This window comes from Homo sapiens, chromosome 3 (assembly GCF_000001405.40).
Source record: "Homo sapiens chromosome 3, GRCh38.p14 Primary Assembly".
In the NCBI taxonomy this organism is placed as follows: domain Eukaryota; kingdom Metazoa; phylum Chordata; class Mammalia; order Primates; family Hominidae; genus Homo; species Homo sapiens.
Window position 1 is genome coordinate 146,387,140 of NC_000003.12, and position 26,057 is coordinate 146,413,196.

Genomic DNA, 26,057 nt, shown 5'->3' on the forward strand with positions numbered 1-26,057 from the left:
GTCACCACAGTGGACTTGTGGTGAATAAGAGGCAAGGAAGTGGAAAAAGAAAGTAGAGAAAATTGAAGAAGCTTAAAATGAAAAAAAAAAAACCAACAAAAATATTAAAGGGAAAGGTAGCTATGTGATCAAAAGAAATTTTGTTTAAAATAAGGTCCTCAGCATGTTTAAATACTGATAAGCAAAATGTTCTTGGGATTAGTTCCCAAACTTGGCTGTGCACAAGAAACACCTGGAAAACTTCAAAAAATTTTAGTGCCTATATGTGACATGGTGATAGGGATATATAAGAAACCTTTGTACATTCCAGTCAATTTTGTTGTGAGCCTAAAACTACTCATTTAAAAATATCCAGTGCCCCAACTGTACTTTAGATAAATGAAATCATTATCTGGGGATAAGACCAAAGCATCAATAGTTTTTTAAAGCTCCCAGGTGATTCCAATGTGTAGCTAAGTCTGAGAAGCACTGCATTATTCTAACGTTTTCCACAATTAAAATTATCTTGAGAATTTGTTATTAATAAAAGACAGATTGCTGGGTCTCATCCTCAGAGTTACTGATTGACTAGGTCTAGGGTAGGACTCATTCATTTGCCTTTTTGGAAGTTCCCAGATTATGTTAATATTGCTGACTCAAAGCTGCACTTAGAGTGACCTTATATTCCAGAGACGGAGACTGAAGATAAAAGAAAGAGGACATACCTGAAGATCCCCAGCCATGCTGCATAAAGATGGGGTAATTTGGATGATTCCAGTGGTCCTCTAAAATGTTTCATAAGCCTTCATAATTTTCTTGACTTGCTGCCTTTAGCAAGCAGCTCACAGAATTCTGGCTGAAGTCTGGTAGTTTGCTCGAGTGCCAAAATTTTCAAGTGTGGTTCCGATTAGTAGTAGCAGCAGCTTCACCTGGTAACTTGTTAAAATGGAAATTATCAGCACACCCAAGACATGCTGAATCAAACACTTTGGGGATGAGATGCAGCAATCTGTGTTTTGAAAGACCCTCCAGGTGATTTTGATACATGCTAAAGTTGAAAACCGCTATTTCAGTGAATGGCGTATTTTACGTGTTTTCAAAAGCCAGTCTGTACATCTAATTCCCCCTGCTAGAGGCTGTCTTTGCTTCTTGTGCCCTTGCTTCCACTTAATCATCCCTAATGCCTACCGAGTCATCTGAAGAAACTTCACTTGTGCTATGATTTGTTATGGGAATGTCACTGGGTGTAAGTGCTGTCAAAGCTTCCAATCCTTAGGGTGCTAGACGAGCATCAATTAATCTACAATGTTAGAGGTAAACTTTGTCCCTGAAACAATTTCACCTGTGTCAGGAAGCATACATGGTTTCTTCTTGAGCAATGTTACCAACTTCTAATCCTCAATACTCAAAACACAAAGGATGAGACCAGACACCATAGTATATACTTTCTTCTCGTCCTCCTGTAACTGTTTTGTTACATGAAATGTATTGGCATAATTGAGCTGAGGACAGCTTTATTTTTTTCAACACAGCCTACATAAATGGTTTAGAACTGTGTTCTGGAACGTGAGCAATGAAATTTTAATGTTTTGTGCTTAGTGTTTGCAAGCTTGACCAAAAACAAGCATAAAATGTTCCATTAAAAAATTCTGTTAACGACTTCAACCAAACTTTTCTTCCTCTAAAAAAAGTTTTAATCTGTATGAATGGGGGCAAACAAGATAATGGTGTGTGAAAATTTCTAACTTTCTTCATATGCAAATGTTCTGTGTGAGCATAGAATATCTGAACTATCAGCATTCAGTTGAACATGACTGTAATAACACTGTCTAATATATACTAAGCATTCAGTATGTATCATGCATTGTAATGAAAATTCCCTAATTTTATATTCCAAACCCTGATTCTGTCAAATCTGCATAGAGAGGGAAAAGTTGGTCTGTCTTCCAGGGGATGTAGGCAGGGAAGTTCCATAAAAGAAACTGTGAACAAGACATATAATTTGGAAATGAGATTGCTTCCCAGAATTCTGTAGCAGAAAATATCATGTTATTTATGTTCTTGTTTAAATTAATTTTGTTTCAGGTTTCTTTTCACTCATTTATGAGAAATTCCACTTTATGATTTTTAAATTATTTTTCTTGAGAAAAAGTGGTATGTGCCTTTTTCCCAATAAAATGTCCTAAAAGATTCCTAAGAAATGTTATAAAGCATAGAGAACTGGGGTAAGCTTATAGGCTAGGGTCTTGTAGTCCCCTGGAAGGCAGGAATTTCCACATCCTCCTGGCCACCCCAGAGTATGAGGTTCTTTATGTGAGTCTACCAGGACAGTGCACCTAACAAACATCTTCAGGCATACATGTGGGTCAGTTTGCCTCTGGATCTCTGAAGAGGAGTAAGGGACAGATCCTTGCGCCTTGGCAATATGTGCCTCAAGTCTGTTCCCTCTCCCTTGGAGGGAGCCACTTCTGATGGCTTTAAATTTTTGATCCCATGTCTTTCTAGAATGACCTAGACTATACCCTTTTAAGCATAAACTTTTGCAAACAAAAATCTGTTTTGTTCTGTGGACAGAAATCCTAACCACAAGGGGAGGATTTATCCAAAACATTACATGGTAACACTTGTATAATTAGGGCTGCTCTATCCAGATACTTTTATAAGAAAGAAGAGTAGCTTTTCTGTGGAAGCATCCAGGACTCATTTTATTACATTTCACCAAGTCTTTATCTCTCTTGATCTTTAAGAGAGAGTGTCTGTGTAGCTCTGATGTAGGATGACCTGGTCTTCGGATATTATCATTCATTGAAACCAATAATACCTATGAATTATCATAAATATTTTAATTAATTCAATAATGATATATAATTGAAAATATCCCAAATTCAAAGGTATTTCATAGGTAATATGAATAAAAAAATCACCTGTTAAATAGCGTGCTAGATTGTTAAAAAAAAAAAAAGTCCACAATATTTTACAGATCTTCTCATCAAGAAGTGGGATCTCTTTCAACATCCCTTGAACGGGGATTTAGCCATGTTACTTGATTTGGTCAATGGGGCATTAACAGACATGATGCAGAGGTTTGAAATGTGCTTGTTCATTAAGGATGTGTTCTCTGGCTCCCTTTGCAACCCACCTGTCATATAAAGAAGCTAAGCTAGATATGAATAAGTCCAGAGAAAGAAATAAAAAGAATAGTAGATGTGACTTTTTTCCAATGAAGTGGTCAAAATCTGATAAGTAGAAATCCACAGTTTTTAAGGGAGTTGTATAATCATAAACTAAAAGAGACTAAGACATTTTAAAATGAAGAAACCTCTGTTTCCAATATTCATAGACAGATAGAAGCCTACAAAAGCTACTCAGCTAAAAACATGGTAATTTCATTTAGAAAAGAAAAAAAATGTTTCAGAAGGCAGAGCCAAAATTCCAGAGACCAGAGTAGAACAATGGACTGGAAAGTCACTCCCAGGGAGCAGAATTTTCTCTGTCCCCAGAGTAAGGGGAACTAGAAACATATCCCTTCTGATTTCTATAATTTCTATTGACCAGTGACTACTACATGAATTTTATTTGTTCATTGTGGCTATTTTGACCTTTGCTCACTATTACATGTAAGGTGGGTCTTTTTTGTTTTCAAGGCTCTGAATCAAGAGAAGCTGCATCCAAGTATCCTCACTCACATTTACAAAAGGTAACAGATCACATTATACTGGACTTGAGCTTAATGCTATAATTGAAAGAGACTTGTTGGGAGTCCTGAGAGGGTTAAGGATATTTTGTGTTTGGGGAGAATGTAAATAATTGGAACCAGAGAGAAGGCAGTGATAAATTGTGTTGGAGGAAGAATGGCAACATTATTTTGCAGCAACTGTCATTAAAAAATTGAGTCTATTTTTCCACCCCTTGAATGTGGGCTTGGCTATGTGATTTGCTTTGGTCAATGGGATATTACTAAGCATAATAGAAGCAGAGGCTTGAAATGAGCTTGAACATTTGAACTTGCTTTCTTGTTGCTTTTGGAACACAGTCATGTGTAAAAGCTTTGGCTAGCCTCCTAGATGATGAAAAATATGCAACCTATTGCCCCCATTCCCTCAGCCAATAGCCTGACATGTGAATGAAGCCATCTGGGATGAGACAGTCCCAACCAATCTGATAATTGACTCAAAATGCATGAGTGAGCCAGGTTCTGAACAGGAGAACTATACAACAGAATCCTAAACTAAACACAATGATTATTTGAAGTTAAACATTTTTGATGTAGTTTATTAGGCAGAAAGAATATATATGAATAGTTTTAGTAAAATAAAACTTTATTTAGATATTTTCAGTGAAAGTTGCTTAGTTTTGTTGAGGGCTGGCAAAAATAAATGCCAGTAATCTCTGACATATTCTTTCAGGGTAATTCTTATGGCCACAGTTCAAAATACATGTATTCCTAGAATGAAAATGAAAAATAAATACAATTAGATTGGTTTAACAGTAGAAACAACTACAGGCATTAGACATGAGAATGATTTTTAAGGTCCCTGTATTATAATAACATGATCACAAAACATATTAAAAAGCAGAAGTCTGAGGAGCAGACCCATGAGGAACCAACTTGCAAGGGTATAAGAATGACTGTTTGCCCTTAAATACATCAAAATAATAGATTTGTACATCTCTAAAGGCCCTTAGAGATCAGCAACTAATTCTACCTCATTTTACTTATGTATGTTTTTTCATTTACATACTCATTTTAGAAAACTGGAGGAAAAGAGAAGGAAAAAATTTATATTTTCAATCAATCCCAAAATCTACCATAAGTATTTTGGTACAAATTACTCCAAGACATACATAATTGCTGTTATAATATGCTTATACCCTGGTTTTTTTCACTGCATAAAATATTCTGAGTATTTGTGTCATTAAAGGTCCTTAAAAGTATTTCATTTTTTAGTTTGTTTTAATATCTATTTATTACTCTAGTCTAGAGATGTCTCATAATGTATTTAGTAAGCCTCATACTCACACATTTTATGTTGTTTTAATTTTTGCTGTTTATTTAAGTTTGCTACATAGAGTGTACATTGCTAGTTACTATATTGTACACAATTATTTGTCTGCATCTGAAAGAATATAAACATTAAATTTTTGACAAATGTTTTTAATTTATTCCTCTAAAGGTTGTACCTATAGCTCATGAGCACTTGATTCCTTAAATCTTCATCAGCATTGAGCATACATCATTAGAAATAAAAACTTTAATACATGATAAACAAAAAATGGTATTTTATCCTTTATTTTTTGCTTCTCTTGTGTGTTTTTGGAGACGCTTTCTTAAGTTTAGTGGTTTTTATTCCCTCTTTGATAGTTATTTGAATTATTTTTCATAATATTTGTACATTTTCGTTAAGTATTTGATATTTTTCTTAATTAAATATCATTTTTATTAACATAAGAACATTAGTCCTTGGTCATATTTGTTGTGTATTTCCTTAATTTATTATTTTCCTTATTTCCTATACTTTCCTTAATTTATTATTTGCTTTTAAATATTTAATATTATGAGGTTTTATGGGGTACACACATTTAAACTATTTAAATTTAGTAGTCTGTTACTTTATGATTTTCTTGCTTTGAAAGACCTATTTTGTCTAGAGTACAAGTATGGGTACTCTTTGTTTATTTTTGTTTGCTTAATGGTTCAATATCTCCTTCATTATGCTTCCTTGGGTTTATTCTTTTTTTTTTTCCTAACTTTATAGCTTTAGCTAATTAATTTAGCTTATTAATTTTTCTCTTTTCTTCAATAATTATAGCTATAGAGTTTTGAGATGTAATATTTTATTACATATTTTAAAGTATTTTAAATTTTTTGTTACGGCTTTTTAAAAAAATAATTGGGTTATTTACATTCCTTTTTTTTTTTTTTTTTTTGAGACAGAGTCTCGCTCTGTTGTCCAGGCTGGAGTGTAGTGGCGTGATCTTGGCTCACTGCAAGCTCCGCCTCCCTGGTTCACGCCATTCTCCTGCCTCAGCCTCCCAAGTAGCTGGGACTACAGGCGCCCACCACCACGCCCAACTAATTTTTTGTATTTTCAGCAGAGACAGGGTTTCACCGTGTTAGTCAGGATGGTCTTGATCTTCTGGCCTCGTGATCTACACGCCTCGGCCTCCCAAAGTGCTGGGATTACAGGCGTGAGCCACCGTGCCCAGCCTACATTTCTATATGTATAAAACATTTAAAAATATTTATTAACCTCTAATTGAGTGTTGTTTGCTCATATACTAAGGTCTAAATGATAATGATTCTCTCTAATTTGTCGAGACTTGCTTCTTGGCCCACTATTATATTAATTTTTGTAAACAATATTTATTTGAGAAAAATGTGTGTTGTCTAATTGTTTGATAAAAAGTTCAGCTGGGCACAGTGGCTCACGTCTGTAATCCCAGCACTTTGGGAGGCCGAGGCGGGCAGATCACGAGGTCAAGAGATTGAGACCATCCTGGCCAACATGGTGAAACTTCTTCTCTACTAAAACTACAAAAATTAGCTGGGCGTGGTGGCATGCGCTTGTAGTCCCAGCTACTGGGGAGGCTGAGGCAGGAGAATCGCTTGAACCCGGGAGGCAGAGGTTGCAGTGAGCTGAGATTGTGCCACTGCACTGCACTCCAGCCTGGCGACAGAGACTCCGTCTCAAAAAAAAAAAAAAAACTTCTAAATAAGACCATTAATCAACTTATTCATTTTGTTGTTCAAATTTTAAATAACTTTACTAATGTTCTGTCTCTTATATCTAGTATAAATGAAGAGATGTGAGTAAATTCCGCATTTTGATGATGGGTTTGTCATTCTAACTTTTTAACACTTGTCTCTATATTTTGAAGTTAATATTACATGCATACAGGTCTAGAATTATTACATCTTGTTTGAATAGAAGCTTTATCATTGTAGTTACCCATTTTGTTTCTGTTTCTATTTTTTGGAGTCTTAATGTCTTTTTTTTCCCCTGGTATTAATTTAGCTTCCCTAGCTTTCTTGTGGTTAGTATTTATCCATATTCTCTTTCTTTCCATTTTTTGGTCATTAATTTAGATTTGTCTTTTTAAAAGAGACTACAGATACTTTAAAAATCCAATTTAACAATTTCTTTTCTTTTCTTTTCTTTTTTTTTGAGATGGAGTTTCGCTCTTGTTGTCCAGGCTGGAGTGCAGTGGTGCAATCTCAGCTCACCGCAACCTCTGCCTCCTGGGTTCAAGCGATTCTCCTGCCTCAGCCTCCCGAGTAGCTCAGATTACAGGCATGTGTCACCTGCTCGGCTGATTTTGTATTTTTAGTAGAGACGGGGTTTCTCCATGTTGGTCAAGCTGGTCTCGAACTCCTGACCTCAGGTGATCTGCCCACCTCGCCCTCCCAAAGTGCTGGGATTAAAGGTGTCAGCCACCGTGCCTGGACCAATTTAACAATTTCTATCTATCAACTGGTAATTACAGAAGGTTTACAAATAATGTCATTTTGTTAAATGTTGTTTTGTTATAATGTTGATGACAAAAATAATTAGTTTTATTCTATATCATTGTGCTTAAATTTGCAGTTTCCAAGAGCCTATTGATGACTGATATGGTTTGGCTCTGGGTGTCCACCCAAATCTTAACTTGAATTATAATCCCTATGTGTTGAGGCAGGGTCCTGTAATCCCCAAGTGGGGAGGGAGGGAAGTGATTGGATCATGGGGGCAGTTTCCTCCAGGCTGTTCTTGTGATAGCCAGTGAGTTCTCAGGAGATCTGATGATTTTATATGCATCTGGCATGTCCCGTGCTTGTACTCACTGTTTCCTGCCGCCTTGTGGAAAAGGTGCCTGCTTCCCCTTCACCTTCCACCATAATTGTAAGTTTCCTGAAGCCTCCCTAGCTATGTGTAACTGTGAGTCAGTCAAACCTCTTTCCTCTATGAATTACCCAGTTTCAGGTATTTCTTTATAGCAGTGCAAAAATGAACTAATACAATGACATTAAGTGAGGATTAGGAAAAAGGAACATAACCTTAGAGGGATCATCTAAAGTTCAATAAAATTTAAGAGCAAATAAAACGCTAAACATATCTGTGATATTATTAGAAAAATAAAATAATAGCAAATATTTAATTTGTGAATTTAAAAAGAAGCAAAACTAAAACACTAGTCAACAAAAGTATATAAGTTGTGAGAAAGAGATTAGAATTAAAATGTTTTTAAGGTCTTTGTATTGCGCAAGAGATAGAGCTAAATCAAATAATATCTATAGTTTCCAAATTAACAATATATTACCATTTAAATAAAGTGTAACAAGCATGTATTAATAAATTTTACATTGTAAGAGATAACTATAAGTCACACTGAATGAACCATATTTTTACTATTTTCAGTGACAATCTGATTTTTCATGAAGGCAAAGGATTTAAACCTGAATCATCATGTTTCTAGGACACTCTAATTTTTGCTTCCTTTGCAATGTGAATACTGAATCCATGATATCATTCGGGGACTGAGGATGGCCAGAAAGGCACAATTTGCAGTTGATTCAGATGATTCAAGGAGAAATATTAGTAAAAGTGCAATGGTAATCTCAGAAAATATAATTTTCAGCTAAATAGAGTAAAAATAGACTCACAATGAGGAAAGTTGCTCCAAGCATCAATGCTTTAATTTTAACATCAAGATCAAATGGAAACTGGATCCCAAATTTCTCACCATTGGTTAATATTCCCCTTACAAATCCAGAGTACTGTTTTGAAATCTTTCCAATAACCATTTCCTCATCCAGAGTCAATAACTAAAATGGAAAAATATATAATCTTAGGATAAAAATCTGTGAGACAAAAAGTTATTCCTGTACCAAATTTATTAATTATGACCTTGATGAGTTATAATCATACTGATTGTACCCAACAATTTACAAAATATGCAACATGGACACATAATAGCCTGGTAAAATTTATAGGCAATTCCTATCTAAAAGTAGATTTTCAAATTGTATACAACTGATTATATCTATTTCTATGTCTATGTATACACACGTATACACTTAATTCATATTATTTGCTTTAATTTAATGTGAGAATGAATTTCATTATAAAATGAAAACCACTAGCTTCTCAGCTCATTACACAGCTTCCCAACTCTTTCATAAGTGCTTTTTATTTTCTGGTTCCCTTTACTTTTTCCTCATTTTTTTTTCTCTCTGTTACTTACCTAAACCTCCTAGAGCATCATTTCTCATACCAACTCATACTAATTCCTTCAGAATAAGAGATACTCATGTAAATATAAAACAACAAACCTGGGATGAATCATATTACCTGCCTTGTAATGAGGGCCATAAGGGAAGGGTAGGGTGCTATCATGTAGTACAACTGGGAGCTAATAAGCAGACTACACAAATGGTAGGGGCATGGTTTTAGAGTAAGTGCTTGGGGACAGCATCATTTAAGCTGAGACTTAGAGGACCAGAAGGAATTAGTGACAAGAGAAATAGGAAGACAGACAGAATTCCAGAGAAAGTTAACATGTGAAAAGGCCCCAAGTTAGGAAGGACCATAGCTGGAGTGAAGTGAGGGAGGGGGCTAGTAGCAGAAAATTAGTGAGACCAAAGAGGTTAGCAGGGCTGCTCATAACACAGCCTTGTAAGTAGTGCTAAGGAATATGGGAAACGAGAAATATCAAAGTGTTTTAAATATGCCCAAAGTTCTCCACTCTTTTCAGAACTCTGAACCCACCATTCCCCCTCATTCTCAACAAAATATCTTATCTCTTATACTACAGAAAAAATAAAAGCTATGGAACAGGAATTCACACTCACACACTAGCCCTACAAACAGAACATATTCATACCAACATTTCCTGCCTCCTTCCTGTTATGATGAATGGGCCATCTCTATATGAAGCTAGTTCTCTACATGCGTCTTAGTCCCATACCAAATAAGAAACCGGGTTCATCAAGTATTCAGCCTCTGTTGTATCTCCATACTTTCTCTCATTTGGCTCTGTTCTTTTACAATCAAAGGGATAACGACATATTTTTCAGAAAAATACCTCCCCTTCCACCCTGTGCCTTCATCCAGCCAGAAACAGGATTAGGGTATTGCAGAAATATAAGTAATGCAAGTACATGGTCAGTTCGTTTCTTAATTTTTTGGTGTATTTCATAATAAAAATTTTTGCATTAATTTTAATTTTTTTAAAAAACAATGCAACACATTCAGGTATCACTTACCTTTAATACTGAGATTTGTGTTGCTCCCTTAAATTTTGTACCTGAGATGAACACCTTCATTGCCTCACTCTAGTTCTGGCCCTGTAACTAGCTACTACTTTATCTCTTTCCTCTTATTCATAGCCAAAAGTATTAAAAGGATTGTCCACATTCATGGAAAAGATGACTTTCTTACAGAATCCTGATTTCCCTTTCTTGCTCCTCTTACTTGGAGCTTACCCAAGAGTGCCAGCTTTAAAATTGTTTCGCTTCAAACAGAAAAAATAGGAAGTGTTTTATATAACTTTGACAAAGTTTTGAAGATATTACAACGAGTAGGATTTGCTGTATTATACTCTGAAATATAAAAAAATGCACAAAAAGCATTTTATTATTTGGTGTCAGTAAAAATGGCTTTGGATTCCAGAGTTTTATGCATAGTCTACTCTGTTACTTTGGCTTTTAACTTAAAATAGAATCCTATGTAGTCATATTATTACTTTCCAAACTAACCATATTATTAACAATTAATTTGTACTGTATTAAGTATATTTTACTTAATCAGTATATGCAGATGCCAGTAAGAATCAGAATCACTAAAATGAATTGACATAATTCTAAGAAAGGAAGGAAAATCAGGTAGTATTTTAGTTAGGCTGTATCCAAATTTCTTACTAGATATTTTAGATATTCAAACAAACAAACATGTTTTAGATGAAAGTTAGGGAAGTATGGCTTTTTGCACATCTACTATGATGTTAAACCAACACAATATTCTCTGTTGCTTAAGAATCTTCAGGTTTGAATAAATATAACAAGTTATTTAATTTTATTAACTATGTGAAGTATGTTTAGTAGCTAATTTCCCAAATTATTATCTGGATGTTGGCTATAATCTGAGAAGTAAATTAGTAAGCACCTAAAAATTTTTAAAAATTATTTTGAGTTTCAAAGTTTTATAAAAAGCAGAAACTGCGTTAATGAACATTAATATAACACATTATCTATAATTAGTACCAGATTAGGTCATTGTCCATTTAAATAAAGTTTAATTTTCTCTGTCAATATTCTTTGAGATATTAAATAACAAACTTCTGATACCTTTAAAACTTGCCTTATAAGCTACATAAACTTATAGAGCTTTTAAATAAGGACGCTGTGAATTAGTAATCCAATTTTTTTTTAAAAAGCAAATAGTTACAATATTTTCATAATAATATTCTTTTATTTATCTTTAATCATATTCATTAATTATATATTAAAGAAATCTAATAATTAACTAATTTTAATATGATATTACAACTTTATTAATTAATTACATTAAAATTTAGATCCCCAAGACAGCTGAAGACCAACCATGGGCCTATAATTTTCATTACGTCCTCCTTATTCTCATTTTTTATTTTGAACTTTGGCAAGAATGGGTGAAAGTATCGATAAACATATCCAATTGTTTCACCTGGTGGAGCTTCAACTTTTAGCTACAAAAGATTGAAAATATAATATTGATCCAACTGGATATGTTAGACTTGTAAGTAACACTTTATTTAGTTCTGTACTACCTCTTAAATGAGCTTTTTGTATATTTTGACAGAACTTTCTGTATTTAAGGGATGCTTCATGTTTGAGAATCAACATAGAAGTGAGAAGACCAGGATTTAGATGTTAGAGCCCCCTGAGCTAAGACCTGACTTCACTGCTTGAAATGTGAACAAATCACTAAAGTCCTGAAATTTACTTTCCATTTGCAAAAGAGGGATAATAATAATTTCCTTTTTAGGCATGTATGAGAATTACTTTTTAAATTGCCATGCCCATGAAACACAACGAAACTTTAATCTCATCCAAAACTGCTTATTACTCAATATGCCAAGCACTTTCATAACTCTTTGCCATGGCAAATATAAATTTTGCCCCAATTTTTATTTAAAGCTCAGTTCATCAGACTCAACAGAGACTTGTTGAATAAATTATGGCATATCCATATAATGGGTTATTATGCTGCCATTTAAAGGAACAAAGAAGTTCTAAACATAGATGCAATCCTCAAATTATACTGTTATGTGTTTAAAAAGTAGAATAATATGCTACTAATTATGTTAAAACACACACACATATACACACATAGTATAAATATGCTGTATTTATGTAATACATTATACAAATATTCACAAAATAACTGGGAGAATACATAAGAAACTTGTAATAGTAGTTGTATCTAAAAAGGAATGTAGGAGGCTTAGGAAGCAAGCATTTGAGAGAAATTGTTTCTCCTGAATATACTTCCATTATATTCTGTCCTCTTCTATTCTGAAAAGTAGAGAATTCTGGCCTTTCTTTCCTTCCTTCCTTCTTTCCTTCCTTCCTTCTGCTCTCTCCCTTTCTCTCTCTCTCTTTTTTTTTCTTTCTTCCTTGCTTGCTTTCTTGCTTGCTTTCTTCTTCCTCCTTCTTTCCTCCTTCCTTCCTTCTTTCCTTCCTTCCTTCCTTTCTTCCTTCCCTTTTTCTTACCATATATAAGTATTACCCATTAAAAGGTAAAGGAAGACTGCTAAGTCAATATGGTGGTAATGGTGGTATGGTTTGTAAATCTCCCCAAAAACTCTCATGGAAAAGGACAGAACAAGTATACTAGCAAAACGAAACAAAACCACTGTCAAATTCTTTAGACAAAATTAGATGGCAAAATTAGATGGAAAAACAAAGCCTCAAGCCACAAAATATAGGTAGATGTAGTGAAATATGTGACAAGAACAAAATGTTTCTGAGATTTCCAGAATCCAGAGAGTAAATAAATACATACATTCATAAATTTATACATACAAATAAAAAGCATACAGATGACAAAGGAAGAAGTAAAATCTGTATTTTCATATCTATAATTGTAGGAAACTTTAGGAAATCTACAAAAAAGCTACTAGAATTTGTAAGTAATTTTTGACAAGGTCAGAGTAAAGTGAAGGTATACACAGAGCAATAATTTTCTATATACAATATACTATATACAAGCAACAAAAAAGTAAAGTTTAAATAAAAATACTATTTATAATTGTATCTAGAAATATAAAATAATTAAATTTATTTGTAATATAATATTTGTAAGACCTAAGTACTGAAAATGACTGTTACTGGGAGTTATTAAAGAAGATCTAAATAGAAGGAGAAATATGCCATAGCCATTGAGCAGAAGATTCAATATTAATAAGATATCAGTTCTTTTCAAATTAATCCATTGATTAAATACCATCAATATCTCAGCAGAATTTTTTAATATGATAGGTTTTTTTTTTGTAAAATTTATATAAAAATGTGAAGGAAGTAAGAAAGCCAAAAAAGCTTTGACAAAAGCAAAACAAAATAAGAAGGCTTGTACTACCTGATATTAAGACTTACTCTACAGCTGGTATTATGCCAATATTATATTGTCCTGATGATCCTAGCTCCGTGTGTGTATATATATTTGTATGTATATACATAGGTAGAACGATGGAAGAGAGTAGACTCTAGAAATATGTAAACATATACATTGGCAATTCATTTTCAGAAATGTTGCCAAATCAATCCAGTAGAAAAAGAATAGTCTTTTACAAATCATGGTGTTTAAACAACTAAATATTAAAGTGGGAAAAAATGGATCTCAACACTTTCCTCACATGAATACAAAAATTAACTCAAAATGGAAGTAGATTTAAATATAAATATAGAGTTTCTATAGGAAACACGAGGTAGAGTCTTTGCCACTTTACAATAGGCAGATTTCTTAGGTCACAAAAAGCCTTGGATGGATGCTTAGATAGTTTAGAATAGAAAACATCTAAAGATTTTATGACCTTCATTGCCTAGAAAAAATTTGCAATGTTGTGGATGATTCTCACCCTATACTTATGTGGTACAAAAATACAATTATCTCTCTGACGTTTTCCATTCCAGACAATTCTTTGCAGCCAATCCCAATGTTTAGACTTTATCATACTGTCCGGCATTGAGGCTTTTTTGATATGATGGTATAAATATTTACTTACCTTTTGTAAGCTACATTTCAGAGCCTTATGCAGAGCAAGTACATCTCTACCTACATTATCATAAATTGTCATAGTAAAAGGGCTTGAAAATCCACAAAGGTGTCGAAGGAAGCAATTATTTCTCTCTTCTGCAAAATAAATTCTCTGTCCTTGATTGTTCAAGATTTCATACGTTTTACTAGTTTCAAATTTTCTGAGGACTAGAGAATAAAATAATTCATTAATTTGTTAATAATACTGATGTAAGATGTATGTAAACAGGTATCAAATTACCTTCAAATAGGAAATTATATTGGATAATAAACTGCTCGAATTTAGTTAACTAACTTTCTTTAACTGGTATCTTAGTCTTCTTATGAAGAAAAATGAGAGATAGGCTAGGTACTCTCTGGATCCATTTACTGCTAAAATTCTATGCATAACTTTTTGGTATCCTTTTTGAATTTCAAAGAAGTTGACCCATTACTATTATGTTTTAAGTTATGTTAAATTTTATTCTTCATCTTTTCCTTATTATAGAATTTTTAAAGGATTTCATTAGAACTCCATTCTGGATAGTAGAAATAAAAAAAATTGTACTTACACTAAATTGAGGGAAGTAGGAAATACTCTCATATATTATTTATATAAGATAATAATCAAATTTACCCCTTTTGCAAGCAAATAAGAATATTATTATCTTTTGTTTTAATAATTTTTCTTCTGTTATTATACAAACAAAACAACCCTAAAACTTAAAAAAGTTTTAGGCATCAAATGTTCACTACTGCACTATTTAGAACAGAAAAAATAAAGTGAAAACAAAGAAAGTGTCCAATAAGAGGCAATACTTATTATCCCCTATTGAGGATTACTATGTAGCTCTTTAAAATGCTGGGGTTTTATGATAAAGAAAAAATAACATTAAGTGACTAAATATGAAAAATCATGTGGACAGTAATTAAAAATGATTTTTTAAAAACTCTAACAAAATAATAATTTTAAAAACCTCTTCAGAGGAAATGTATCAGTAGTTGTGCATGGATGACTTTTTTCTCTCACTGCTATTTTTGAAATGAGTATACACTTAATGAGTACATGTTAGTCTAACATACATTAAACATTCTGGTGTTTTTTTTTTCTTTTTGAGATGGAGTCTCACTCTGTTGCCCAGGCTGGAGTGCAGTGGCACAGTCTCGGCTCACTACAACCTCCGCCTCCCAGGTTCAAGTGATTCTCCTGCCTCAGCCTCCCGAGTAGCCAAGACTACAGGCGCGTGCCACCATACCCAGCTAATTTTTTGGTATTTTTAGTAGAGATGTGATTGCACCATATTGGCCAGGCTGGTCTTGAACTCCTGACCTAATGATCGGCCCACCTCTGCCTCCCAAAGTGCTGGGATTGCAGGCATGAGCCACCGTGCCCAGCCTAAACATTCTGTTCTAATGCTAAACTCTGAAACAGGTTGAGTATAGAATTTCTTCATTTTTAATGATTCTGCAGGTATTAAACATAATTATGTTTCTATCCTGTGCCAACACATATAAAATGTACACATTTTCATTTGATATTGAGGACTAATCGTGATTCATAACTCATTAAAATAATATTTTCTAACTGCTTTAAAAATCAATTTTTAAGTAGAAATTATGTATACATGGCACAAATTTTTAAAAAGCAAATGGGAGTATAAAATTAAAAATAATTTATTCTTCCAGCCCTACCCTATCCCCATCCTTTTCCAATTTCATATGCATCCTTTCAGAGATATACAAAGCAAATAAAAAAATCTTCACATATTGTAAACACACACACACACACACACATGCACACTCCTAACTACATGCTCTACTTTGTAATTGTTGTTTATTCTTAGTGATATATTCTGAAAATATCCCCGGCATATCTGTAGAGCTGTCTAATTCTTTTAACTAACTCACGGTGTTAAATTACATGGAAGTGTCTTCATTTAGAGTGGTAGTTCTCAAATTTAAGCCTGCATCGAGGTCACCTGGAGGGCTTTATAAAGCAAATTATTGACGCCAAGCTGTGGATTTTCTGAATCAACAATGGGTCTGTAATGGAGCTTGAGAACTTGCATTTCTAACATGTTCCCAGGTGATGTTGATGCTGCTGTTCCAGGGACCACACCTGGAGAGTCACTGGCTTGGAGAAATTCCCTATTCAAGGATGTTTAGATTCCCAATATTTTTGCTGTTTTTGTGACTTCTTAAATTATGAGTTACTGTGGCTATTTCTCTCCTTTGAATTTCCACAATTAGTTTTTACCTGTCTCATTATTTTTATGACTCTATGCTATATATTTTATTTAAGTATTGTCTTAGTTTTTTTTGTGTCACTATAGCAGAATATCACACATTGAATAATTTATTTAAAAACCCGATTTATTTCTCACAGTTCTAGAGGCTTGGAAGTCCAAAGCTGAGGGGCTGGCATCTGGTAAGGGCCTTCTTACTACATCATGTTAAATATAAATTCTAAATTTCTCTTCAAAGAATTAATATGTCAGTACAATTCTTTGCCTTCTACTTTTAAACTTAACTTCCTCGTAAAACAACCTTTTCCTATTACCTGCTCCACCCTAACTCATTCTCCACCTTGACTCATTCCGATTACCTACTCCACCCTGACTCATTTCATAACCATTTTTCCCACCAAACCACTCACCCCGTCACTCTCTTTAAACTAGTCAATTGGAATTAGTTTAGCCTGTGTTCTGACCCTAGCCAATAGAAGAATGGTACAGCAGTAGGGACCACATGCATCAGGGATAAGAACCCCTTTCCCTCCCTTGTCCAAGTGTGTGCTCACCATTGCTCCATCTGTAAGGGTGCACCCTTCTCTATATAGAAGTACCTTGCCTTGCTGAGAATTAAAAAGAAAATTTTATATTTGAGTGCTATTTCTTTTGCAGCACCAAAACTTTATAACAATCATAATATGATGGAAGGCATCATATGGTGAGTGAACATATAAGAGAAGGAAGGAAGGGGTCCAAACTCATCCTTTTATTAGGAATCCACTCCTTCAATAACAAGCATACTCCTGCCATAATGGCAACAATCTATGCATGTAGGAAGAGCCCTCATGACCTAATCACTTCTTAAAGGTCCCACATCACAACACTATTGCATTGAGAATTAAGTTTTCAGCACATGAAGTTTGGGGGATGCATTCAGACCACAGCATTCCACTTCTAGCCACCAAAATTTACATTCTTCTCACATGCAAAATACATTCATTCCACCCAATAGTCTCAAAGCATCAACTTAAAAGGTCAACATCTAGAGTCTCATCTGAATCAGACATTGGTGAGACTCCAGGCACAATTTGTCCCAAGGCAAATTCCTTTCCAGCTACTACCCTATGAAATTAAGTTATCTACTTCCAAAATACAATGGTGGAATAGGCATAGGACAAACATTTCCCTTTCAAAAGGAAGAAATAGGCAAAAAAAAAAAAGGGGGGGGGTGGTGGTTAACTGGTCCCAGGTAAGTCCAAAGTCCAATAGGAAAAATAACATTAAGTCTTAAAGCTGAAGAATAATCTCCTTTGATTCTATGTCTTGCATCCTGGACATACTCAGGGTGGGGATGTTTGACCCTTAAGGCCTCAGGCAACCCTATCCCTGTGGCTTTACTGGTTTTGTTGTACTTGAGCGAGTTAGAGAAAATGCCACACTTTGAGACGGATTAAGAGTCCGTTTATTTAGCTGGCGGCCAAGAGAAGGCTAACGCTCAAAATTCTCTCAGCCCTGAAGAAGGGGCTAGATTTTCTTTTATACTTTGGTTTAGAAAGGGGAGGGGGGTCTAGTTAAAACAATTTTACAGAAATAAAGTAGGCAAAAAGTTAAAAGGATAAATGGTTACAGGAAAGTAAACAGTTCCAGGTGCAGGGGCTTTAAGACTATTACAAAGTGATAGACTCGGGGCTTTGGGTGGTATCAATCAGATGAATTCTTGGGAATTGCGGATATAGCTTGCCACAGTATCTTATCAGTTAATTGCATTCTTGGATGTGCTGGGAGTCAGCTTGCACAAGTTAAGTCCTTGAGGAAGGGGCTGCCAGTGAAAGAGCCAAGACGGAGTCTGTCTGGCTCTCTTAGCTAAGGGAGAGTCAATTCAAGTGGAAACAAGGCTAGATGATTAAAGGAAAAGGGAGAGTCTAAAAACAGGGTTAGTAAAAACAAGGTTAGGCATTACATTCCCCACTGGTGTTTTTGGGGAATCAAATCGTTGATTCCTCAGTTATAACAAGGGGATTACATTGAGTCTTAAGATACATAAGTTTGACAGAAGCTATGCATTGTTTTATAAATTAAGAAACTAATTTAATATACAAGGCCTAAAAATTAGACTTAATGGTAGGATGGGGAGGGGTCTGGCCAACCTAGTGATTAGAGTAGCTAACCATGAGTTCCAGTTGAACATGCTTTGATACCAGGGGATGTTATTTTCTTGTTTTTGTTGGCGCTTATCTAGATTTTTCTCGCACCTTTTAGAGTATATATTTTTTTATTACTAAGAATGGTGGAGGAACAGTTAAATCAACTTTGTCAGGGTGTTTCTGGAACATAGGTTCACCTAGATCAGTTAAAGGCCTGATTGGCTTGGGTGGGCTTCATGAGACCAGGATTTTTTTTGGATGGTGAACATAGTCTTAACATCAAATCTTGGGATATAAAATCTTAATCTCTATGATATGCTATAATACTATTGAGTTGAATTAGGGTCATGGAAGTTATAGTAAGAGAATTACAATTTTTTCTAGTACATAATTTAGGATGAGAAGCACAAGTTATGGAATGAAGATGTGGTTGATCTCTTAGAGCAGGCCGCTAAAGTTACACCTGTCTAATCAGGGCAGAAAAACTGATAAGTATCTCGACAGCTAGCGTCAGGGTGATTTCCAGGACAGAGGTAAAAGTCAACATTTTGGAGTCCTTTTTTCTGCACCTTTGGAGCTTCTACATCTAGTTTGGCTCCTGGAGCATCTAAATCCTGCTGCAAGGTCGATACTTCCTGCTCCTGGGACTGGCAGATTGTGTTGTTCTTTGTGGGTACGGGCTGGCTCTGGGAACAGTACACATAAATCAACTGCAAAGGAGACTTCCTTGGAGGTACTGGCCTTCTAAGTGGTGTTTGTAAATACATGTCCTGTTGTGAAAGAGGTGAGGAGAGGAGTAGGAAGGCGCAGAGGACATAACAGGCAAAAACAAACAAGTGAGGTAGATAAAAAGAATTAATCTAATGGCTTCACCTGACTTAGGTGCAGTTTTAAAGGGGCTTGACCTAGGCCTGGGGACCTATGTTTTTAGTTGGGCTCTGTTGGACTTTTTGATGCAGGAGTGATGAATCTAAGCAGGAATGCCATCCACCTTCAGAGCTGTTGGCATTGTGAGGATGATGGTGTGAGGTCTTTTCTAAGCAGGAGTGAGTCCTTCTTTCTGGAACTTTTTAACAAACACTAGGTCTCTTGGCTGGAATGAATGGCAGGACCCCGTCTGGTCAGGAATTGGATTGGGATGGGTTCCTCGAACAAGTGGCAGGATGATGTCTTGTACCTGTTGGGGAGACTGTAGGTACTGTAATAAATTAGCTTGTGATATTTCTGCTAATTGGGCATCTCTTAGCTTAGGCAAGATAGGTGGCACCTTCCTATACATGATTTTAAAAGGTGACAACCTAGCTTAGTAAGGGGTGTATCTTATTCTAAGTAGGGCTAAAAGAAGGAGACTTACCTAATTTTCACCAGTTTTTAAGATTAATTTTGTAAGTGTTTTTTAGGGTGCGGTTTATGCGTTCTACCTACCTAGAGCTCTGGGGTCGATTGGCACAATGGAGCTTCCATTGAATGTTTAACACCTTACTGACTGACTGAGCTATGGATGAGGTGAAGGCTGGTCTATTATCAGACCTTATGGTAGCAGGCAGCCTATGTCGAGGGATGATTTCATTGAGTAAAAACTTAACTGCTGTGCTGGAAGTTTTGTTTTTGGTAGCAAATGCTTCAGTCTATCCGGAGAAGATGTCCACTAGTACTAGAAGGTATTTGTACCTAGCCCAGTGTGGTTTTACTTCTGTAAAGTCAATTTCCCAGTTTTCTTCTGGCAAGTTTTCTCGGAGACGGTGGCCTGGGCTGGGTTTAGGACCTTGCTTGGCATTCACCTGGGTGCAGGTTGTGCACTGGAGAGCTGCTTGATCTGTTAGGCTTTGAAAATGGGGGATTCTTCTTTGTTTTTGATTGCCTTTCTTGCTGAGGTGAGTAGCCTGCATTCCTGGTAGATAGCGTCATGTACATGCACAGTAGCAAAGCCGTACCTGGTGTCAGTGTAAACGTTAATATGTTTATCCTTACCTCATCGGAGAGCCTGAGTGAGGGTGATCAATTCAGCTTTTTGCGCTGAGGTGTTTGCTGGTAAAGCCTGAGCCTACAACACATCTGTCTCTGTGGTAACAGTTGCACTCGCCTTTCGTACTCCTTGCTCGAGAAAGCTGCTACCATCTGTGAACACAGTGGCATCCACCTTCTCTAGGGGTACATCTTGAAGGTTGGGTCAGCCAGTTTCGGTGGTTTCTAACAGTTCTTGACAGTCATGGATAGTAGCTGGATTTAAACACCTTGTGGGAGAGAAAGTCAAAGGAGGCTGATCTAACAGTAAACTCTGATACTGCCAGGATGCGAGCATTTGACATCCATTCACCAGAAGCACTTTGAAGTAAAGTCTCTACAGCATGAGGAGCCGTAAGGGTTAAATTTTGGCCTAGAGTCAACTTATCAGCCTCTTGGACTAGGCTTGCTGCAGCCGCTACAGCTCGCAGACAACTTGGCCATCCAGAGGCCACAGGATCCAGTCTCTTAGATAAATAGGCCACTGGGCAACTCTAGGGTCTTAAAGTCTGGAGTCTCGAGCCTTTTTAGCAACTCCTTGGCTTTCGTGGACAAACAGGTGAAACGGCTTTGAGATATTAGGGAGGGCTAAAGCAGGGGCTTCAGTTAATGCCTTTTTCAGGTTTTGAAAAGTCTGTTCTTCTGTGTCTGTCCAAATTAACGGGCCATTTCATCCTGCACCTCTTGGATAGCCACCATTTAGATTTTTTTTTGTCTTTTGAATGCTTTATCAGCGGCCTTTTCAGCTGCCTGTGTTGCTTGTTTCTGTTTTTTTTAAGAAAACTTTCGATTGTCAGAAACCTTTTGGGCTATTTCTAAAAGCTGACTGATATTCATTCCAGCAAATCCTTCTAGTTTTTGGAGTTTTCTTTTAATATCTGGGGCTTCCTGAGCCACAAATGCCAAATTAAGAGCACGGCTATTTTCGGGGGCTCCCAGGTCAAAAGGGGTGTAAATCCGATAAGCCTCCTGGAGGCGCTCTAAAAAACACTCCTGGTGACTCATCGGGCCCTTGGACAACTTCGGTCATCTTAGACAAGTTTATGGGTTTCCAAGTGGCTCCCTTAATACCCATGAGGAGATACTGGTGAAAATCATCTAAAGCTCTCCTTCCACTTAAGGAATTTGGGTCTCAGGCCAGGTGGAGGGAAAGACCTCCTCAAGGAGGTCTCTAGCTTCCTCCTCCAGTCTATTGGCTGATGTGAGGAAGTACTTTTTGGCCTCTCTTCGGATACATTTCCTCTCTTCAGAGGTGAAAAGGGTTGAAAGGAGCTGTTGGCAATCATCCTAGGTGGGCCAGTGAGTCCGGAGTACGGACTCCATCAGAAAGGTCAAAACCTGGGGCTTTTCAGAGAAGGGAGGATTATGGGTTTTCCAATTATACAAGTCAGAAGTAGAAAAAAGGGACATAAACTAAGAAGGGGGCTGAGCGCTCGTCACCTGGAGGGACTTGTGCCTCTCTCAGTGGTAGTAGAGGGGCTATTTCCTCTACAGTCAAGAGGCAATGGGTGGCGAGCCCACAGGGGGTGTCATCGAGGAGACATGGGGTGACCCTAAGGGAACAGGCTGGTTGTAAGGTGGTGGGACTGGGTGAGGGAGACTCTTCTCGTCTTCAGAGGGAGGCAGTACAGGGGGAGCGAGCCGGCTGAGGGTAGAGGTGAAAACGCGGCCTGGCTCAGGAGGACTTTGGAGGTAGAATTATGAATGACACATGAGCAGAGCCATGGAGGGGGCCTTCTGACCAAACTCAACCATTGATTAATGTAGGGAAACTGATCAGGGTGGCCGGGAGTTGCAGTAACAACCCGCCACACAGCTTGAACTATTGTAGGATTCAATGACCCTTCAGGGGGCCACCTAACTCCTAACTTTGGCCATTCTATCCCGCAGAGTGTCTGGAGCTTGCCTTTTTTAAGGTGGACTTCATAATTCTCTGAAAAACCGAGAGAAAAATTCTGTAGCATACATTGGAGAGGGCTCCAACTCTTACAAGGCTGGGAGGAAGTGTTTCCTATTTTTATTATTATTATTTTTTAAAAGGCAATTTAACAGAATTTGAGCAGAGATATTAGATCCAACATGGACAGAAAAACTCACTCCCTGGGGGGCTGGAGTATTGGAAAAACAGAATTAACCAGAAAGAACAGAAAAACTACAACAGCTAATACCACTTACCACATTACTGTAGCTTTAAGATTGAGGGAGGAGGACTAGAGGCCAGCCCAAGATCTCCTGGGTCAGTTGTATCTAGGCGTTTTCCCTTCTCATTTTCCTTCTAGACCTGTACTCTAAATACCTTTGATGTCTCCACAACTCAAAGGCAAATAGCTCAAATTCAGCTTTTTTTTTTTAAGGGTTCAAGGAGTGAGAGCACAGCCAAGTCTTGGAGACGCTGAACTTGCTGTCACACCAGAAAATGAGATGTGTGGGGTAGGGGGCAGGGGCGAGGAGGAAAAGGACTACTTGGATCATCCTTAAGATGAGAGAGTAGCCACGGAGGAACAGAGTAGGAATCTAAATGAAGTAAAGCAGTATGGGTGTAAGTTTCCTTACACAGTGTTCTATTTAAGGGCACAGGAAAATTACAGAATGACAAAAGAGGTGAGCAAGGAAATCTGCAGGGTGGCTGTTTTGAACCTACCACCGGTTTAGTTTAGAGGAGGTCCAATCACTTGGATGTGGGGTATGACAATCTAAACACCTACAACCTTCATGGTGCCAGAAATCCTAATCAGGTGTATGTTTTTCACACTCGTTCTTGTAACAACACCTGACTTGCCTCTGGCAGAAATGACAGGACTGTGGTGACCAGCCTAAATGACTGATGAGAAATTTAACCTCTTGTGACAAAAAAATCAGCACTAAGGACCTTGAAGAAGTTTTTACCTAGACATCTTGGGCAGTACCAACGTCTTGACATGCAAAACCTTAACAACCACTAAACAAGACAATAGACACCGAACAAAACAATAAACATAAAACAAACAATTGACCCTAGGGCATCTAAACAGTTATAACAGTTTTCCTGTTTATTTTTTATTAGACAGACAAGGGGAAGGGGTCCCATGATGGGATCATTCAGATGCCCACCTGGCCGCTCCCCCTGAGGGGACTTGGGCTCCTCTTAGCATTGGCAGGCCAGTATAAACCCCCGGCTCAGATCAAGCTATGCCCGATGCTGCCTTAAGCCTTATGAGGTCGCCACGGAACTGCAGGTGACGGCCCATTCGAACTCCGTAGCTTTCACTGTGGAGCTACAAACTGGAGGATAAGTGCAAGCCCTTGTCCTCCCCCATCCACACACCATTCACACAGAATTTATAACAGTTTTTTTTTTCTTTCCCGGAGATTCTCCAAGAAACCTGAACAAAAGAAGGATGAGAGATAGAAAAAGGGAGAGAAAGAGAGAGAGACCAGTCTGCCAGAAACTAAGGCTCAGTTCCCCAGCGTTCTGGGACGTGAACTAAATCAAGGGAGGGCCCCTGTCAGGACCACTTCCCACCCAAACCAAAACACAAAGGCACCTACCAGAAAACCAAGGCTCAAACCTCTAGCGTCCTAGAGTAAGGGGCTGAGTCAAAAGAGGGATGCCCTCATCAGGGCCGCTTCCCTCTTACCAGAATCGAAGTCAAATCTGACATACCTGACCCTGGGGTCAGAAGCTGAGGACTCAGATGTTGAATTTTAGGGCACCCACACCGTAGTCAATCCGCTCTCCTCCGGAAGACGGTCACTCTTCGGGGACCTGAAAATTCTTAGGTGGCGCTCCCCCTCCGAGCCAGCCGTCCTTCCGGGGGAGCCTGGAGCAAGACCGGCTCTTGCCCGGTGGCATTAATATCTCACTGGGGCCCCCAAATGTTGTACTTGAGTGAGTTAGAGAAAACGCCACACTTTGAGATGAATTGAGAGACCATTTAGCCGGCGGCCAAGAGACAGCTAATGCTCAAAATTCTCTCGGCCCCGAAGAAGGGGCTAGATTTTCTTTTATACTTTGGTTTAGAAAGGGGAGGGGGTCTAGTTAAAACAATTTTACAGAAATAAAGTACGCAAAAAGTTAAAAGGATAAATGGTTACAGGAAAGTAAACAGTTCCAGGTGCAGGGACTTTAAGACTATTACAAGGTGATAGACTCAGGGCTTTGGGTGTTATCAATTAGACGAATTCTTGGGAATTGCGGATACAGCTTGCCACAGTGTCTTATCAGTTAATTGCATTCTTAGATGTGCTAGGAGTCAGCTTGCACAAGTTAAGTCCTTGAGGAAGGGGCTGCCAGTGAAAGAGCCAAGATGGAGTCTGTCTGGCTCTCTTAGCTAAGGGAGAGTTAATTCAGGTGGAAACAAGGCTAGATGATTAAAGGAAAAGGGAGAGTCTAAAAACAGGGTTAGTAAAAACAAGGTTGGGCATTACAGTTTTAGTCCACCCAGTAGCTCTCAGGAGTTGCAGTCTCATGCTTGCACCTTTCTCAGGCTGCAGTTGCTTGTTAGAGACCCTACAGTAATGTGGTCTCTGGAGCTGCCCACTTTGACCACTCCACTGAGCATTGCCCTAGTGCAGGCTTTCTGTATTGACTTTGCTCCTGTGACAAGTCTCTCCCTGGGCCCCCAGGTTTTCTATGACATCCTTTGAAATCTACATGGAAGCTTCCATGGCTCCACAGCTCATTTGCTCTGCACATCTGAAGACTAAGCACCATTTGGATGTCACCAGTGCTTACCACTCGTGCCCTCTGGAGTTGCAGCATGAGTTGCACTTGGGCCTGCTCGAGCCATGGTTGAGGTAGCCAAGGAGTACTTCAGTGAGGTATGGGGACTAGAGAATTGTTACAAACAAATTTTCGGTGCCACAAACGAAATAGCACTTGAACATAAATTTAATTTTCTCAGCAAGGCAATTTTACTTCTATAGAAGGGTGTGACTCGTGGATAGAGCAATGACAAGAGCACACCTGAACAAGGGAGGGGAAGAGGTTCTTATTCCTGACGCAGATAGCCCCTACTGCTGTGTCGTTCCCCTATTGGCTAGGGTTGGACCGCACAGTCTAAGCTAATTCTGATTGGCTATTTTAAAGAAAGCAAGGGTACGAGCTGGAGTGGTGGGGTGAGTAGTTTGGTGGGAAGGATGGTTACAGAACAGGTGACTCAGGATGATTCAGGTCAGAGCAGATGACCAGGCGAACAGATGTGAACTACTGATTAGAACTGGCAGGAAAGTTGTTTACTGAAATTAGAGGCAAGGGGGTGAAGAGAACCAGGAAGTTAAACTTTAAAATGGAGAACAAAGAATAAGAGAGCTGAACATACTAACATACTGATTCTTTGAAGAGAAACATGGAGTTCCTTATATTTAACAGAACCAAGACAGCCCTGAGCAGTGAGCTTGTGGAGTGTTGTTTGGATCCATCTTCCAAAAACATTTGGTGCTCCTGGAACTCTGGGCCTGGGATGGGA

General features: G+C 37.5%; 1 protein-coding gene across 10 annotated transcripts in view, besides 1 other annotated feature; it reads right to left on the reverse strand.

Annotated features, from left to right (window-relative positions):
• Positions 360-1,559: an enhancer, noted in NCBI's record as "BRD4-independent group 4 enhancer chr3:146105286-146106485 (GRCh37/hg19 assembly coordinates)". NCBI's record gives its function as "activates an origin of replication core promoter dependent on BRD2, P300/CBP, MED14 and CDK7 cofactors, and independent of BRD4, by STARR-seq in HCT116 cells {active_cell/tissue: HCT116}" and the evidence as "EXISTENCE:reporter gene assay evidence [ECO:0000049][PMID:35650434]".
• Positions 4,281-26,057, reverse strand: part of PLSCR2 (phospholipid scramblase 2) — a 104,572-nt gene continuing 82,795 nt past the window's right edge. For all 10 annotated transcript variants that reach the window (XR_002959563.2, XR_002959564.2, XR_002959561.2 and 7 more), the window contains 3 exons: positions 14,221-14,420; positions 8,621-8,782; positions 4,281-4,423 (listed from right to left, as the gene is read on the reverse strand). The gene's annotated coding sequence lies outside the window, so the exon portion shown is untranslated. The remainder of the gene's footprint in view (positions 4,424-8,620; positions 8,783-14,220; positions 14,421-26,057) is intronic.